The sequence below is a fragment of the Homo sapiens genome, chromosome 7 (genome assembly GCF_000001405.40).
Source record: "Homo sapiens chromosome 7, GRCh38.p14 Primary Assembly".
Lineage (NCBI taxonomy): Eukaryota > Metazoa > Chordata > Mammalia > Primates > Hominidae > Homo > Homo sapiens.
Genome location: NC_000007.14, coordinates 98,171,317 through 98,189,829, shown reverse-complemented (window position 1 = coordinate 98,189,829; position 18,513 = coordinate 98,171,317). Strand labels below are relative to the sequence as shown.

The following is an 18,513-nucleotide window of genomic DNA, read 5'->3' as shown; positions in this document are numbered from 1 at the left end:
GTGCCAGGAGAGACCCTGAGGGCTGCCTCACCACAGCAGGAACGCCCTTCTCAGTCCCAGCCCAATCCTCTCTCACACTGCGGTGCTCTGTCCCCATGGAAACAGCCTCTGCTGGCTTCCTGGGTCAGAGGAGCTGCCTCTCATTTCCTCCACGAGGTCTCTGCATTTCCTCCCCACCACGCACTGCCTCCATCCCGCATTTGTGTCTATTTACTGCAATGTTCCCGAACGTGACTCTCATCTGTGTCCTCTGGGAAGCCGTGAACACACACACTGCTAGGTCAGATCCACCCCTAAAGGATGCTTAGTTGGTAGATCCAGGTGTGGCCTAGAAAACTCACGTTTTAAAAAGTTCCCCAGTGATTCTGATGTCCAGCTAACCCTCCACGACACGCCCCAAACAACAAAGAAGCAACTACATTTTGACAAAAATCACTAAAGGAGAGCACCAGAGCCCATCAAAGGAGTAACAGGTACTCAGGAGATTCAGGACAGCCACAGCGAGAGCGGAAGGAAACGCCTGGCCTCCACCACCCCATCCCTGGCAGGCGCAGCCAGGAACCAGGAGCAACTTTCTCTTCCAGGTAAGGGCAAGTAAGAGGATCTCACTGTGGACCCCTACATCCTCACACTGCTCACCGTGGACACTACAGTCCTCACACTGGGGTCGCCTGGGGTCCTCACAGGCAGTAAGCCCAGCTGAAGAATTCAATAAATGAAATAAAAAGAAATACAGAACTTCAACAACAGACTCAAGCAGAAGAACCTCTCAACTTGAAGAAAGGTTGTTTGAAATCACCCAGTCAGAGGGAAAAAGACAGAAGAATGAAAAGGAGTGAAGGGAGGCTTCAGGGCTTATGGGAGACTACAGTGCAAACAAATACACACATTATGGGAGTTACAGAAATAAAAGAGCTAGGAGAAGGCAGAGAAAGGCTATTTAAGGAAAGAACAGCTTAAAAACTTCCCAAGTCTTGGGAGAGATACAGACATCCAGATCCAGGAAGCTCAAAGGTCCTTAAAATACAATCAACCCCAAAAGGTCATTTCAGAGGCACATTATAGTCAAATTGTCAAAAGCCAAAGACAAAGATAAAAATTCTAAAAACAGCCAGAGAAAAGCATTAAGTCACATAGGAGGGAAGCAGAGAATAGGATGGTATACTCAAAGTACTGAAATTGGCAGCCAAGAACACTATGCCCTGCAAAGATATCCTTCGGAAATGAAGGAGGGTTGGGCGCGATGGCTCATGACTATAATCCCAGCACTCTAGGAGACTAAGGCATGAGGATTGCTTGGGGCCAGGAGTTCAAGACCAGCCTGGGCAACACAGCATGACCTCGTCTCTACTAAAAAAATATATATAATAATAACTTTTTTTAAAAAATGGAGAAATAAAGTCTTTCCCAGATAAGCAAAAACTGAAGGAATTCATCATTATGAGACATGCCTTAAGAGAAATGGTCCAGGAGTCCTGTATCTGGAAGCTAAAGGAGGATAACCATCAACATGAAAAAACACAGAAGTATCAGACTCACGATACACTAGGTAGAGCAGATACACAAGGGGGAAAGAAAAAGGAAGAAAACCTCATCACTCGTGGAAGATAAAAAGGTTGATCTCATAGAAGTAGAGAGTAGAAGAGTGATTACTTGAGGCAGGGAAGGGGAGGGAGAGGAGGAATAGTGAGAAGCTGACTAACGAATACAAAATTTCGGCTGGGAAGGAGGAATAAGATCTAGTGTTCTAAAGCACTGAAGGGTGACTATAATTAACAACAAATTTTTGTATATTTTCAAACAGCTCTAAGAGCGGCTTTTGAATGTTCCCAAAAACAAAAAGAAAAAATGATACATGTCTGGAGTGAAGGGGATACTAGTTACCCTGATTTGATCATCACACACTGTATATAGGTATCAAAATATTACACTGGGCCAGGTGCGGTGGCTCACGCCTGTAATCCCAGTACTTTGGGAGGACGAGGCAGGCGGATCACTTGAGTTCAGGAGTTCGAGACCAGCCATGGCAAAACTCCATCTCTACTAAAAGTACAAAAATGGTGTGGTAGTACATATTGGTAATCCCAATTACTCGGGAGGCTGAGGCACAAGAATTACTTGAACCAGGGAGGTGGACACTGCAGTGAGCCGTGAGCCGAGACTACACCACTGTACTCCAGCCTGGGCGACAGTGAGACTCTATCTCAAAACAACAACAACAACAACAACAACAAAAACATATATATATATCACTGTACCCCATAAATATGTCCAATTATATGCATCAATGAAAAAAATAATAAAAGCAAAAAAATTGTTTTAAAGAAATCAATCCAAAAGAAAGCAAGGAGAGAAAAAAAAAAGCAGGACAACAGCACATAAAACATAGCTATAAATTAAGAAGGCTGTGACAGAAATTGTTAGTCAAAGTTTTAGGTGCATCTTTTTAGCTCCCATTAAACTGACTCCTATAAATCATAGTATAAACATGATAGTCCACACCCCTTTCAGTTTCTTCTTTCACTTCAATAAATACATATTAAATATCTATTACATGTCAGGCCCTGTGGGAGGCACAGAATATGAAACAGACTTGGTTCCTGCTTTTCTAAAGGAAAATGGGTAGCAGGGGCAGTATTCAAAACGTTAACTCCATCACCACAATTGTGATAATTACTATTTGTGTCTTTTAAACTGTCTTTTTCACACCATCAGATACTCTTTTGTTCCTACATCTTATACAACTACTTTCCTTTAAGGAAGTACTCAAAGAGGAAGAAGTTAGGACTTTGCCAAAGAAATGACTAATAAAACGGTAAGCCAATACGTACCAGATATTACTATACTTAGTCTGATCTGCAGTTAGCAGTCTGTCTTGAAAGCTGGTTACTAATTCTGGAGCAGTCCATCGCAGAGGGAAAACTTTTTTATCATCTGTTTCAATATAATCCTCCTGTTTTGTTAGAAAGCACACAGAATTTTGAATAGAATTATACTTTTGGTGAGTTCAAGAATTTAAATCCATGGTATTCTCAGAAAACATATACCCAATCCAAAAACCAGGTCAGAAAAAAAAGCAGGCATGAAGAGTGACTTTCTGGGCAGAAAGTGGGTAAGGAGTTTTGCTGAAGCCTCCTGGGCTTCATGACCTCATCTGCGAGCCATGAACGCTTGCTAAGTCATCCTTCTTGGATAAGAAAGTACGCTGTGTCTGATGCATATAACATAGACTCTGAGCAAAACACTAAAACAATATATACTGGGACTTATGCGCTGAACAGTGAAGCCAGTTAGGGAGCAAGACTGTAGGCTTTAGACTCTGACAGACCGGGGTTTGAAGTCCTCATTCTACCATTTACCAGCTATGTGATTCTACGCAAGCAACAACTTTGTGAAGTTTTTTCCTGATCTGTGAAGTGAGGAGAACACAAACCTCCCCTCTGCGGTGAGGATTAAATGAGATGATGCAGGCCGGGCTCGGTGGCTCACGCCTGCAATCCCAGCACTTTGGAAGGCTGAGGTGGGCGGATCACAAAGTCAGGAGTTCGAGACCAGCCTGGCCAACAGGGTGAAACCCGTCTCCACTAAAAATACAAAAATTAGCTGGGCGTGGTGGAGGGACCCTGTAGTCCCAGTTACTCGGAAGGCTAAGGCAGGAGAATCGCTTGAACCCGGGAGGCGGAGGTTGCAGTGAGCCGAGATCGCGCCACTGCACTCCAGCCAGGGTGACAGCGAGACCCCATCTCAAAAAAAGAAAAAAAAAAAAAAGAGATGATGCAGGATACAGGCAGGTGCTAAGTGCCTGACATCTAGCAAGTGCTCGAGACACTAGAGCTACTATGTAGACAAATAACCAATTTCTATTTGCATAATATTTTTTGAAAATATTACCCGTTTGGTCCTCACAAGAACTCCGAAAAACAGAACAGATCTTATCCGTATGTTGCTGCTCAGAAAGCGGAGGTCAAGGCTGGGTGGGGTGACTCACACCTGTAATCCTAGTACTCTGGGAGGCCAAGGCAGGCAAGTTGCTTGAACCCAGGAGTTTAAGAACAGCCTGGGCAATATAGCAAGACTCCGTTTAAAAAAAAAAAAAAGAAAGGAAAAGAAAATGGAGGTCAAGTGGCTTATCCGAGGTCTCCTGACAGCCCGGAGCTGGGACAGTCCCATTCTCTGCCCCAGAACGCTCTACCTCATTCACTGGGGCTACACAGACACACACAAATGGAAACTTCATTGACTTCTTCACTTATTTCCTTTAGAATATATTCATGACAGAGTTAAAAAAACCTAGATCCCCAGGTTACTGAACATGAGCTGAAATTTTACTGACCACGTAATGGAGAAACATTTATATGATATGTATATTTTATCATAACAGGTAATAATAACTACTGTTGCTCATGTGTTCACTCTAAAATTTATTATGCACCATCAGACTACATCATTTACAGTGTTTATAAATATTTTTAAACGAAACTTTTGGAAAGCTGTTGCAAAACCTCGGATGCAAAGCCGCAGACTTACACAAGCCACACGCCAGAAGCCTAGACCACATTAAAATGACTGCTGCAAATCCCTCTCCAGAAAGCCTAGCGACTAAGATTCTTATACAAACAGTGGGGCATTTGGTGACATTACAACTTCACAATTCAAATTAAATCAGACTGAAAACATTTAAACCTCTGGCTTACCTTGTACCTGCTGAATCCTATTCCGTAATCTCCCACTTTCACATTTAAGTCGGAGGTGAGAAAACAATTCCGCAGGGCTAAATCACTGAAAACAGAGGGAAGTGAACATGGCAAGAAGAATCAACAACCAGGATCATGCTGTATGGAAATGCCACAGAAATGGGCTTTCTCTCGGGATCCGAGTAAGTATATTGAGCTCTCTGCTTAAGAATTAACCTCTCAAAATTCTTTTTCATAGTAGAAGTATTACATATGTCATCAATCACTTAAATAATAAAGATGATCACACTTTTAGGCAAGTAACTAGCTCAGGTTAAATACTGACCATATCTGTACCACGTTCTACATTAAAACCGGATGTATGGCTTGTTTCCTTGTATTTTCTTTTCTTTTCTTTTTTTTTCTCATTCAATTTAGAAGTTTATTTTGCCAAGGTTAAGGACGTGCCTGTGACACAGCCTCAGGAGGTCCTGACGACATGTGTCCAAGGTGGTCAGGCTACAGTTCAATTTTATACATTTTAGGAAGACATAAGACATCAATCAACACATGTAAGATGTACAATGGCTCAGTCAAAAAAGGCAGAACAACTCAAACACTCTAAGTGGAGGCTTTCAGCTCATAGGTATGTTAGAGTAGGTAGTTAGGCAGATATGGACAGGGCAGGAGAGCACCCCCACACACATACCCCCAACCCGTTGCCCCCAGGACTGTCAGGCGACAATAAAGTGATGGTCAGGTGGTTGTTAAACTGTCTCTCTAAAATGATAAGTGGTCACAGCCAGCACCAGGAAAAGACAGTCTCCTAACAGACAGAAAACACTCGGAACTGGTGTTATCCTCTTCTCAAAGACCTCAAACAGGCACACTAAGAGGCAAAATGGCCTCTTATACGACCTCCCACTGGGAACGCTCGACAGGTTAAGGAAAAAACTCCTCAAGTGAACACGTGCACAACTTCAGCAAACCCCAGAACCATAACAATGTACAAAACCCCAAGTCAAGGGTTGAACAGGGCACTTGGATCTTGCAAGTCACCCGCTTGGCCCTTCTAAGTGTACTGCTTCCTTTCACTCCTGCTCTAAAACTTTCAAACAAATTCTCACTCCTGTTCTTAAAACTTGCCTCAGTCTCTCCCTCTGCCTGAAACCAACTACTGCCTCTCAGCAAAATTCTTTCCTCCAAGGAGGCAAGAATCAAGTTGTTGCAGACCCAGATAGATTCACCACTGCTAACAGGTGGATTCAAAGATTTTCCGATTAGCAACCTGTCAAACTAGTTTACCTAAAGACCAGAAACCCACTTGGGCATGGTGGCTCACACCTGTAATCCCAGCATCTTGGGAGGCTAAGGCAGGCGGATCACTCGAGGCTAGGAGTTCAAGACCAGCCTGGCCAACACGGCAAAATCCTGTTTCTACTGAAAATACAAAAAAGCTGGAGTGAGGCCAGATCATGGTGGATCACACTTGTAATCCCAGTACTCTGGGAGGCTGAGGCAGGTGGAACACATGAGGTCATAAGTTCAAGACCAGCCTGGCCAACATGGTGAAATCCCATCTCTATTAAAAATACAAAAAAATTAACCAGGCATGGTGGTGCATGCCTGTAATCCCAGCCACTCAGGAGACTGAGGCACGAGAATCATGTGACCCCCAGAGGCGGAGGCTGCAATAAGCCGAGATCGCACTACTGCAATCCAGCCTGGGTACTCAAAAAATAAAAAATAAAAATAAATAAAAAATACACACCTGAAATTCCATATAAGGGAGTGTCTGGGTTAAGATAAGGGGTTGTAGAGACCATGGTTCTTATTATGCAGATGAAGACTCCAGGTAGCAGGCTTCAGAAAGAATAGATTGTAAATGTTTCTTATGAGACTTAAAATGATGAAAGACTCAAATAATTCTCTCCAGGATCAGAGAAAAGACCTAGAAAGGGAAAGGCATTCTCTACAGAATGTAAGATTTTGCCTCTAAGAGACAGTTTTGCAGGGCCATTTTTAAATATGTCAAAGGAATATATTTGGGGGCAAAATACTTCAATTTCTTACAGGGCCTGCTATCTGTCATGTGATGCTTTACTTTAGTCAGGCTGGAATATGGTGTCTTATTGCTACAAAAAGTCGTAAGATCTCTGTTTTAATGTTAATGCTGGTCAGTTGTGCCTGAATTCCAAAGGGAGAGTATAATGGGGAATCTGATCGCCCCCTCCCCATCATGTCCTGAACTGTGAGATGTCCTTGGCTGAGAGGATGAGTTCATTCAGACAATTGGAAAGCTTAAAGTTTTATTTTTAGTTTACATTTCTTCCATATTTCAGCTATTGTGAATGATGCTGGTATGAACATGGGTGTACAAATTATCTCTTTAAGACCCTGTTTTCAACCATTTTGGGGATATGCCCATAAGTGGCATCACTGCATCACATGGAAATTCTATTTTCAATATTTATGAGGAGCCACCATACTGCTTCCCACTGTGACTATACCATTTTACCTTCCCACCAACAGAGCACAAGGGTTCCAATTTTTCCACGTCCTCACCAAAACATATTATTGTTTGATGTTGATAGTAGCCATCCTAATGGGTGTAAGGTGGTATTTCATTATGGGAAATTGACTTGGATTTTCCTAATGATCACTGATGCTGGGCATCTTTTGGTGTACCTATTGCCATTTGTATATTTCCTTTGGAGAAGGAAATACACACTTTCCTTCATTTTCTAATCAAGCTGTTTGTTTTGTTGTTGAGTTGCACGAATTCTCCATATATGCTTTATATAACCCTTTTCAGATATATAATTTGCAAATACTTTCTCCATTTGGTGGTTATCTTTTCACCCTATTGATAGTGTCTTTTGATTAACAAAGTTTAAACATTTTCATGTAGTCTTCTATGTTGTTGTTGCTTGTGCCTTTGATGTCATACCCAATAAATAACTGCTGAATAAATCACTGTCATAAAGTTTTTTCCTTATTTTCTTCTAAGACTTTTATAGTTTTGCATCTTACATTTAGGTCTTTGATCCATTTTGAGTTAATTTTTGTATATGGTGTTAGTTAAGGGTTCAACTTCATTTTTTGCATGTGGATATCCCATTTTCCCAGCAGCATTTGTTGAAAACACTATCCTTTCTCCATTGAATAGTCCTGGTACTCTTGTTAAAAATCATTTGACCGGCTGGGTGCAGTGGCTCACAACTGTAATCCCAGCACTTTGGGAGGCCAAGGCAGGCAGATCACAAGGTCAAGAGATGGAGACCTTCCTGGCCAACATGGTGAAACCCAATCTCTACTAAAAATACAAAAATTAGCCGGGCATGATGGTGGGTGCCTGTAATTCCAGCTACTGGGGAGGCTGAGGCAGGAGAATCGCTTGAACCCAGGAGGCGGAGGTTGCAGTGAGCTGAGATCGTGCCACTGCACTCCAGCCTGGCAACAGAGCGAGGCTCCATCTCAAGAAAAAAGAAAAAAGAAAAAAATCATTTGACCATATATATGAAGTTTTATTTCTGGGCTCTCTCTTCTATTTCATTGGTCTATATGTCTTCCTTATGCTAGTACAACACTGTTTTGATTACTGTAGCTTTGTAGTAAGTTTTAAAATCAGAAAAGGTGAGTCTTCTAGCTTTGTTCTTCTGTTTCAAGACTGTATTGTATTGAGTATTTGAGGTCCCTTCAGAATCCATATGAATTTTAGGATATGCTTTTCTATATCTGTAATCCCAGCTACCTGGGAGGCCTAGGAGGGAGGATCCCTTGAGTCCTTGAGATGGAGGCTACAATGGGCTATGATTGCACCACTATTCCAGCCTGGATGGCAGGGTGAGAGCCCATCTCTTTGGGGAGAACTTTACCGGTCCACAAATCTAGTTGACATGTGAAAATGCATGTTCTTGTTATAGATCATAAATGACTTAGGCTCAGTACAATAGAGTTCTCCAAACACAAGTCTTGGTTTGCAAACAGAAGTTGAAGAGGAATCAAGAAACACAAGCTAAGTTCTCCCTCAACTGAGCTGCTGGAAAAACAGCATCTCCAGATTTTCTTTCAGGCTTTGAGAATTTTTCTCCCATTCCACACTTTTATCTTGATACTGATATCACTGTGGCGCAGAAGGGCTCCGCAGAAGGGCTCCCCAGCTCCTATTCCCTGAATCCTCCTCCTCCTCCCCTCCTCTTTCTCTCTCTCTCTCCCTCAGTCTGCCGGGCGCTCACGGAACCGGAACCAGCTGGGCCCGGCCCGACCTGAAAGAGTGTTTCCTTGTATTTTCAGAGTGACTAAGAAGGAACTCTAAAATGCTATTAGCAAAATTGGTGAATTTTTTTTACAGCTTGTATTACTTGAGTAATAGTCTAGTAATAGTCTGTTATAAGTAAATATTAATATAATTTATAACTTCAAGCACCCAAAAATAATCCACATTATTAAAAATGTTTATTTTTCCCCTTTCTCAAAGATATGCAAGCGTTGTAGTCAGGCCCTTTCCAAATTACTTTCATGACTTCCAAACTCTCTACTTCTCCACAAGGGAGGTAAAGAGCATATTTCAAGACACAGAACAATTATAGAATTTATTTTAAGAAACAGTTAATTTTCAAAAACACACAATTTGACAAGTAAAAACTACTTTTTCTAAAGGAACTTTCCACACAGACAACAGATTAAGTTTTTTGGCTTTTGGCTTTAACCCTTAGAGTCTTTATAATCACCAACTGGTATACGAATAAAAAAGCCATTAAATTAAAATAGAAAAGGAGGCCTAATTTATAGTTTTAAGTTGTAAACTGAAGATATCAAAGCTGAATTTCCATAGTGCAAAATGTATGTCTTTACAGAAAGGCAAAAGACCAAAAACTTAAACTATCACATTCATATTTTCAAAGATTTTAATTTCCAAAGCTCACATGTCTGAAATACAAGGATAATGGAGATGATGACAGCAACGGCTAACACCGATATAATTCGGTAACAGCTTGATACATAACATTGATTCAATAACATAATCATGGCTAATATTCAAAAAATACTTACTTCACAAGAGGCATTTTATGTTTTCTCTAAGTGTTTAATCTTCACCACAAACCTGTGAGGTGGGTACTATTATTTTCCTCATTAACAAATATGGACACTGAGGCAGAGAATTGAAGTGACTTCGCTAGGGCCACAAAGCTAGCAAGGTAGTGTTCGGTAATATGTTTGTGTTTTCACCGTCAATAACTCTCAACGATGATGCAGTGACACTTGGAGCTGCTGTTCCAAGCACGCAGCTGGTCCTCAATGTGGATTCCAGTTAGCTACCTCACATCACTTGCCACACTCTTTGTGCTTACAAGTGATTTTCTGCACTCCATCCAGAAGCCTTCAGGCCTGCTGAACTGCCTGGGAAAAACCTTGGGACACCTGTGACTCCACTGTTATGAACAACAAAGAATCTTCTAATTGTAAGAAGAATGTTGGTCCCCATTTCTTGGAATTAAGCAAGGGAGAGAGGGAGGGAGGGAGAAAGGGAGGGAGGGAGAAAGGGAGGGAGGGAGAGAGGGAAGGAGGGAGAGAGGGAGGAGGAACATGCCATATGAGGACAGAAAAGTGAAAATGCTTTAAGTAAGGCTGCTCTATCCACTGGGCCAACAGCTGCGACTGCAGAGATACAGGTTTTGCCAACAGAGGCTCCGTCACTGGGCACCACCAACGACCACCTCTAGGGTCTATAAACAGACCCTGTGAACCTTCCCGACATCTCCCTCCTGAGACCAGAACAAGGAGCTGGATGCCAGCATCCCAACAAGGGCAAGCACGCATCCTGCTAGGCCAGGGGCAGCAGCCTGAGGCTAGCTTGGGCGATGTCGAGCTCAGGCATTTCCTGGATGGCAGGATGACTGTCCCAGTCCCTCCCTCCTCTTCTCTCTCCATACTAACATTCCACGTAGGTCTTTGGATACTTGAAATGCAAAGGCTTGGTAAAAGATGAACAATTACGCCTGCAGAAGGTCCTTGGCTCTCATTATAAAACTCGAAAGCAAGCAACTGGTGTTCCCAGGGGAAAAGGCAATGCTTCTCATGACCTGAAACCCAGAGGTGGTGAGGAAGCAAACAGTGGCAGGACTGGGTCCTGCCCCACTCCTCCCCAAGTGCCCAGGCTCCACAATGCAGTGGGAGGGAGCCCTGGGCAGTCAGGAGGCCAGGAGCTCATCTCAGTTCCACTGCTGCAAGACCATGTGATGCTGGGCTGGTCACATGCATAGCAGAGGAGCCTCAGTTTCCTCACGAAACAACAGGTTGCACTTGAAATGGTTAACTCACAAGGCTGTTGCAAGGGTAACACTGAAAAATACATGAAATGTTTTGAAAACATAAAAGTGCTGTACAGATTCAAAGTAATGATACAATTTGGGCCAAAGTTGGTAAAAATAAATATTATCTGAAGCCCAATAACGTGCAAAGCTAAAGAAAAACACACAGGTGTCACTTCTTAACAACAGAGGGAACTCTTGACGTCAATGGCTGCTTTTGTCAGGAAATGCAAACACACAGCCAGTCTGCTCTCCCTTCAAGTTGAAAAACAGGTCCAGGGATGAGGCTACCAGTGGCACCAGCCCCGCCCGGCTCTCAGAAGGCTCTGGCAGCGTCGCCTGAGCTTGGCAGCACTTGCTGTGACTGAGACCACAGTAACCATGAGACTCAGGGCCGCATGAGCAGAGCGATCGACAGAAAGTGGGAGCTCGCGGTTCTGAAGGGTTCCCACCCCGATTCACAAGGAAGTACCACTGCTTGCTGCTCACTCACGCTAGGACTAGTTTGCGCGTCTTCGGGGTTCTCCAATGCAAACTCAACACGCAGGAGGCATTTTCAAAATAATCCACACCTCTATTATGTGAACTACTTATGCTTTCCCGAGTAATCTGGATTCCTGATAAGAAGAGTTCACAGACAGGAAGCAAAATACCGGAAAGTTACTGAATATTCTTCTAGCAGCTTGGCATACTTTATCTCCATCTTGACAACAGCACTCCAGGGCTTTAAAGACGATCCCCATTTTATAGAAGAGATAGAGCTCCGAAGGATGAAATAACCAGGCTTATACTGGTAAAGCTGATGAGAGGTGAATGAAAACTTCAATTCCAAAGCCTCCCTCTGCTCGTCACGTCATTCTGACTCTGGCAGCCACAAAGACTTAAGCTTCCGAAGGGACTCTGCACTTAACACTCTAAGATGGGATGGAGACGTACCAGGAGAGGATTAAAACAAGAGGATTCCGATAAAGCACACAGAGGCAACTTTATACTAGAGTTTTGACAGTGTTTGCCCTGCTTATTAGGTCAGTCTTTGCTAGCTGGGCAATGGTACATTTACTGAGTGCCTGCTGTGTGTATCTCAGGCACCTGCTAGGATTTGGGTACACAGAGTTCTTCCACAGGGTGTGAAATTCTTATTACACCCTAGGGAAAACGCCTCTGGCTGGAATAGGGTCCACCACTGATGGTGCATATGTATAGTCCCAGCTACCTGCGAGGCTGAGACAAGAGGATTGCTTGAGCCTGGGAAGTCAAGGCCAAGCAAGTGAGCCATGATCGTGCCACTGCACTCACTCAAGCCTGGGTGACAGAGCGAGACCCTGTCTCAAAAAAATAAAAAATAAATAAAAACCCTGTTCAGATTCGAATGGGAATTCTTTGAGTGAACTGGCATTTTTGTGTGGCCTCCCCACCATAAATCATGGTGCATCTTTCCATGTGTCCACATGTTATTTTACATTCTTCAATAAGATTTCATAGTTTTCTTCATACAGTCCTGTGTCTTTCTCACATAATATATACCCAGATAATTTATAATTTTGGCATTATTCAGAATAAAATGGTTTTTATCCACCTTCACTACTGGGTACATAATTACACCTGTACAGAGAAAAACTACTGACTTATGTATACTGTCTTATAAAAAGCCACAACAAATTCTTTTATGAATTCTAATTTTTTAAAAGCACAGTTTCTTGGTTTTTCTAAACATCCAACACCATGGCACCAGTAAAGAAGGGCAATGTTCTCTTCTTTTCCAATGATTGTGTGGTGTAGCTCGGTGGTTAACAGTGTGAAATCTGGAGGCAGACGGTGTAGCTTTGAATCCCAGCTCTGCTGGCTTCCAGTTGCACGACCCTGAACAAGTCAGTATACCTGTCTGTGCCTGCGTCTCCTGACCTGTAACACAGACGGGAAAACCAGCACTACCACTTAAGAGTTGGTGTAAAGTAGCTGGCATGTGGGAAGCATTCAGTAAATCATTATTATTATTGAGATGGAGTCTCGCTCTGTCATGCAGGCTGGAGTGCAGTGGTGCGATCTCAGCTCACTGCAACCTCTGCCTCCCGGGTTCAAGCGATTCTCCTGCCTCAGCCTCCCAAGTAGCTGGGATTACAGGCATGTGCCACCACGCCTGGCTAATTTTTTTGTATTTTTAGTAGAGATGGGATTTCACCATGTTGGCCAGGCTGGTCTCAAACTCCTGACCTCAAGTGATCTGCCCACCTCGGCCTCCCAAAGTGCTGAGATTACAGGTGTGAGCCACTGTGCCTGGCCTATTATTATTTTTTTCTTTTTTCCCCCTTATTTCTTGGGCCTATTATTTTTAAACTGATAATTTTATAGTTTGTGTTTGTATTAGCTAGTACCTCCAAAGAAATGTTGGAAGGTAACAGAAATAGTGGGCATCTCTGCCTGGTTTCTCATTTAATTGAAAGGACTTTATTATTTTGCCATTTAGCAATAGCATGATATTGCTATTAAGTTTTGGTAAAGTTTTGAGTCTTAGTCCATATGATATTTAAGTTGTATCTTTCCTTTCCTGTCGGAAGAAATGTTTCCCATCAGAGGAGAATATGTTTACATAGTCTATGTAAACACAGAATAGCTGCTGAATTATACTAAATGATGTTTCTGCAATCTATTGCTATAATGTATTTCTCCTCTTTTATTCTGTCAATGGAATGAATTATGTAGACATATTTTTATAATACACATCTACCCTTATAGTCCTAGAATAAGTCTTAATTGTTTTATTCACACACTGCTACATGCAGTTTGCTAGTATTTGTGTCTATGTTCATTCAGGAGAATCGTCAATAATTTCTTTATGTCATCTTTTGCTATTAAGCTTGTGTTGGATTCATGATATGAGTTATAGAAATTTCCGTCTTCTTTATGGTCCGGAATAGTTTAAATACACTGGAGCCACCTGTTCATTAAAGGTCAGACAGAGGACACCCATGAAACCCTCTGGACCTCGAGCCTTTTAAAATGAAAGCTCTTTAATCACCTTCCCAGTGTAGCTACTCGGCTGATTACAGTCTTTCCATCTCTTCTTGGGTTGTAGCTGCAGTCAAACTGGTTCCTTTCCCTTGAAGCCTTCCTCATTTCTGTGTGACATACATCATGGGAGATACAAAGGTCAGGAAGATACAATCCCTGCCTTCAGCAAGTCTTCCATGTAGAAAGGGAAATAAGGAAACTTCATGGACACCCACCATATATGAATTCCGGTTTGGTTTTCGTTTAGGTAGTGCCTTCTCTTTCTAAACCAGCCTAAGCTGAGGTGCAATAGTGATTAAACATGCACGCACGTGCACACACAAAGCTCTGGGCATGCCATCCTACTGCCTACAGAACACAGCCTGAAGGCCTTATCTTGGCACTCAGGCCCTCTGTAATTTGGTTTCAAGCTGTGTCTCTATTCTTATCTCCCACTATCTTCTCTCCTGCGTCTTCTTTTCTGGTAACACTGGACTATCTGACATTTCCCTAAACTCCCTTTCTTTCTCTTCCTCCTACCATATACATCATCTTGCTACTCCCTTCTCCAGAAATTCTGAATGTCCTCCAGCCTTCAACTGATGCCCATTCTTCAAGGATCACTAAAACGCCACCTCCTTCCAAAAACCGACCTGGACTCTTCCCAAAGTAACTCTTCCTCCTCCTGCAGAAATGACCACACACGGTATGTGCACGTGGGTACAAACTGCTCATCAAATGATCAAATGAGTGGCTGAGACAGACCAACCGCTCAGCACCCCAAGCCTCAGTATTCTCCTCTGTAACTGGGATGAATAATGGCACCTGCCTCGTGGCACGTGGGGTGGCCCTGACGATCAAATCACTACTCACAGAACGTTCTGCAAATGCATGGAACACGGCAAACACCCTGCCAAATGAGAACATGCGTTTCCACTCTCCTGCTGGGGCGGTAGTGAGCAACAGGTGTGCACTTTGCTTTGATTTTAAATGTATTTCTCTGTCTCTCACCTTGTCACTGGATTTTAAATGCATTTCTCTACCTCTCACCTTGTCATTGAACTCTGCAGGCTGTGGAAGTTCGCTACACACTAACCCCAGTGTTGCACAGCAGAAAGTAACTGTAATGCTACAACCTGGCAAATCCTATAGAGGTTCTTTTGTACACAATGGTCACCCAGGTACTCCGCAAGGCTACCCCCTCCAGGTCTCCAGCTCCATGAGTCACTGCGAGGAGGCAGGCCGCCCATGAGAACCCCCTGGCTCAGCTCATCACAGCGACCTGGTGGCATCTCACGGACAGGCTGCTCAGGAGACTGGCAGGCAGGGGACAGGAAGTCCTGGGCTCCAGGCCAGCAAGGCAAGTGGGATGGCACAGCAGCAAGCTGGCAGCGCCTGCTGTTTACATGGCTTTCCAAAAGTCACATGCACGACTTCAGAGACACAGGCTCCTCAGACTCCAGGTTAAGGCTCTTCTTAAACAATAGGTAGAAATACAACTTCACTGTGGGTGCCTTACTAGATTAGTTTCCAAATGGAGCTAAGAACTTTAATTGGACATGTAGGTTGTTCTATTTTCAACCAACAGAGGAAGTCCTACTTTAAGTCAACCAATAAATATTCTAAATTCCAACTTAAAAATATACTATATGATATGCTACTGACAAAAAAGATCTTAAAACACAAAACTTTGCCCCAAACAGAAATTTAATATAGATATGATTACTTTTTCTTTTTTTTTTTTTTTTTTACAACAAAATGAAACAGCTGTCAATGGTTTCAAGGGTTTTTTGTTTTTTGAGACAGAATCTCGCTCTGTCACCCAGACTAGAGTGCAGTGGCATGATCTCGGCTCACTGCAAGCTCCACCTCCCGGGTTCACGCCATTCTCCTGCCTCAGCCTCCCGAATAGCTGGGACTACAGGCACCCGTCACCACATCCGGCTAATTTTTTGTATTTTTAGTAGAGACGGGGTTTCACCGTGTTAGCCAGGACAGTCTCGATCTCCTGACCTTGTGATCCGCCTGCCTCGGCCTCCCAAAGTGCGGGGATTACAGGCATGAGCCACCGTGCCCGGCCTCAAGGATTTTCTTTAACTTGAGTTTTAGAACTTGAATAAAACCCAAACTATGTGATTTACTCATCATCTTTACTTGCTCTAAAGTCCACAAACTTTGAAATTAAGTAAAACTTTAACTTGAAACTCACAGGAAAATACTATTTACTCTGATATCTTTGCCAATTTAAAAAATACAGATTCTAGTTGTCTTTGATAATTTTACATTGCTGATTCCAATATTATGCTCTTTTAAAATTAAACCCCCTTCTCCAAAATTTAAGAATTCCTATACCAGTATTAGTAATTATCTGCATTTTGTAAGATATATTAACAATATAAATTATGCTAGATAACAGCCTGTTATAAAAGACATCAAAAGCTAAATGTAGGCTTTCTCCATTACGAAATCTTTATAAAGCTTCATATAAGGGATTCTGCTTTGGGTCTTAAGAAACTGGTAACTTTTTGAGTCTTTAAAAAAAAAAAAACACTTTACCAGAATGATTTGTTTACTATCGTAAATCAAACAAGATATAAATGTGTAAGAAGAAGGTTAATAATTTTCCTCTGTCCCCCCTTGAAGGAATGTTGACAGTCTGATAGGCACGGTACTTTTCCACGCCTGTTTAAGACACACACACCTCTAGAAATACGACCAGGTGTTTTCATACTTAAGAAATGGAATCACACTAAGCATATTACTGTGAAATCTGCTTTTTACAAAAAAGAATACTTCAAGCCAGGCACAGTGGCTCACACCTGTAATCCTGGCACTTCGGGAGGCTGAGGCGGACGGATCATCTGAGGTCAGAAGTTTGAGACCAGCCTGGCCAACATGGTGAAACCCCATCTGTACTGAAAATACAAAAATTAGCCAGGCCTGGTGGCAAGTGCCTGTAGCCCCAGCTACTCGGAAGGCTGAGGCAGGAGAATCACTTGAACCCTGGCGGTGGAGGTTGTAGTGAGCCGAGATCACATCACTGCACTCCAGCCTGGGCGACAGAGACTCCGTCTCAAAAAAATAATACATAAATAAATAAAAAATAGAATACTTCATACACATCTCTTCAAGTCAAGACACACAGGTGTTCCTTTTTAGGTCAATGGATTACTAAGAGTTAAATGATTTACTTAAAGTTGACTAAAGAAATACTGCCTGGTTTCCCTGGAGACCTAAGAAATAATTTTAAACGTATTGTGTTGTTTTTAAACATAAAGCACAGCTCAAAAGCCTAGAGGAGAATAAGCAGAAATCTCCTTTTGGGTTCACAGAACAGACTCCTCATTTGAGACGGGACTCCAAGTCCTTTGGTGTTTTAATTACGAAAATCACCATCTATGATCTTAACAAAATATAACGTGTTCCAAAGAACTACGGTCATTCAAGGCGTGAACCCGGGAGGTGGAGCTTGCAGTGAGCCGAGAACGTGCCACTGCACTCCTGCCTGGGCGACAGAGCAAGACTCCGTCTCAAAAAAAAAAAAAAAAAAAAGAACTATGGTCATTCAAGTGGGGCCTGAAAAGCTGCAACAGAAATGTGCTACACAGATCGCTGTGCTGCTCACAAGCAGCCCCTGACTACCCACCCGGGAGCGGGGGGCCTCATCAGATCGGATCCCATGACACCTCTGCTTCCAAATGGGCACCTGAAGCCCACCCTTCAGCTGGCCAGAAACCAGTGCTATGACCTTGTGCAAACAGAGGCTGCTGGCCTAGAGATTCTCTCTTCCTCTCTCAGGAATGTGAACTGGGATGCACCATGAAACCGGGCGGGTGGCACCAGAAGCCTAAAGCTGGTGTGGCAAGGATGAAACACGCGAGGTGTCATACGGTGGATCGGGACTGTTTACTCCCAACTCTGAGGCAGGTACAACTATTCACATTCTTTGAAATGCTGGAAATAATAAATGTATTAAGACATCTTATTCCCTGGTACTGGTTTCAATGAAGCCCAACTCAACCCTTATCCGGACATGGGTAAGAACGAGATCGCTTCTACCTACATGAGCTGGGTTCATTCTGCCACCTCCTGTCCTCCTTAAGTTTCACAAACTCGGCAGCCTCTCTGGACTGTCCCGCCGGTGCTGTGTGGGGCGTGCACCGCTGACGCAGGTACCCACCTGTGCAGGAAGTGCAGCTTGTGCATGGCGGCCAGCCCCGCGGCGACCTCGCACGCCATCCTCTGCAGCAGCATGGTCTGTGAGTCCCCCCGCATGTGCTCCTGCTCGCTGCGCAGATACGCCTTCAGGTCACCCTGCAAAAGTCAGCCCGTGTGAGTTTCCAAACGAGCCACAGGAATAAAGTGAGCGCTTAAATACGTGCCTCGGTGAACACTAACTGTTAAGATTATTTATTAGAAACTTCTTTTGTTCATACTTAAAGAAGTTCCAACCCAATACTGCGAAAGTATAGAACACTATTATGCTTTTAGGAACATTCTAACTAGTTAACATCTTTGTCACATAAACACATGGAACA

At 43.1% G+C, this 18,513-nt stretch overlaps 1 protein-coding gene across 2 annotated transcripts in view; it reads right to left on the bottom strand.

The window, feature by feature from the left end:
- The window catches only part of LMTK2 (lemur tyrosine kinase 2), a 102,777-nt gene that overhangs the window by 19,809 nt on the left and 64,455 nt on the right, over positions 1–18,513 (bottom strand). For both annotated transcript variants that reach the window (NM_014916.4, XM_011515981.4), the window contains exons 7-9: positions 18,156–18,289; positions 4,695–4,779; positions 2,832–2,953 (exon numbers count right to left, since the gene is read on the bottom strand). In NM_014916.4, the coding sequence (NP_055731.2) occupies positions 2,832–2,953; positions 4,695–4,779; positions 18,156–18,289 (341 nt within the window). The remainder of the gene's footprint in view (positions 1–2,831; positions 2,954–4,694; positions 4,780–18,155; positions 18,290–18,513) is intronic.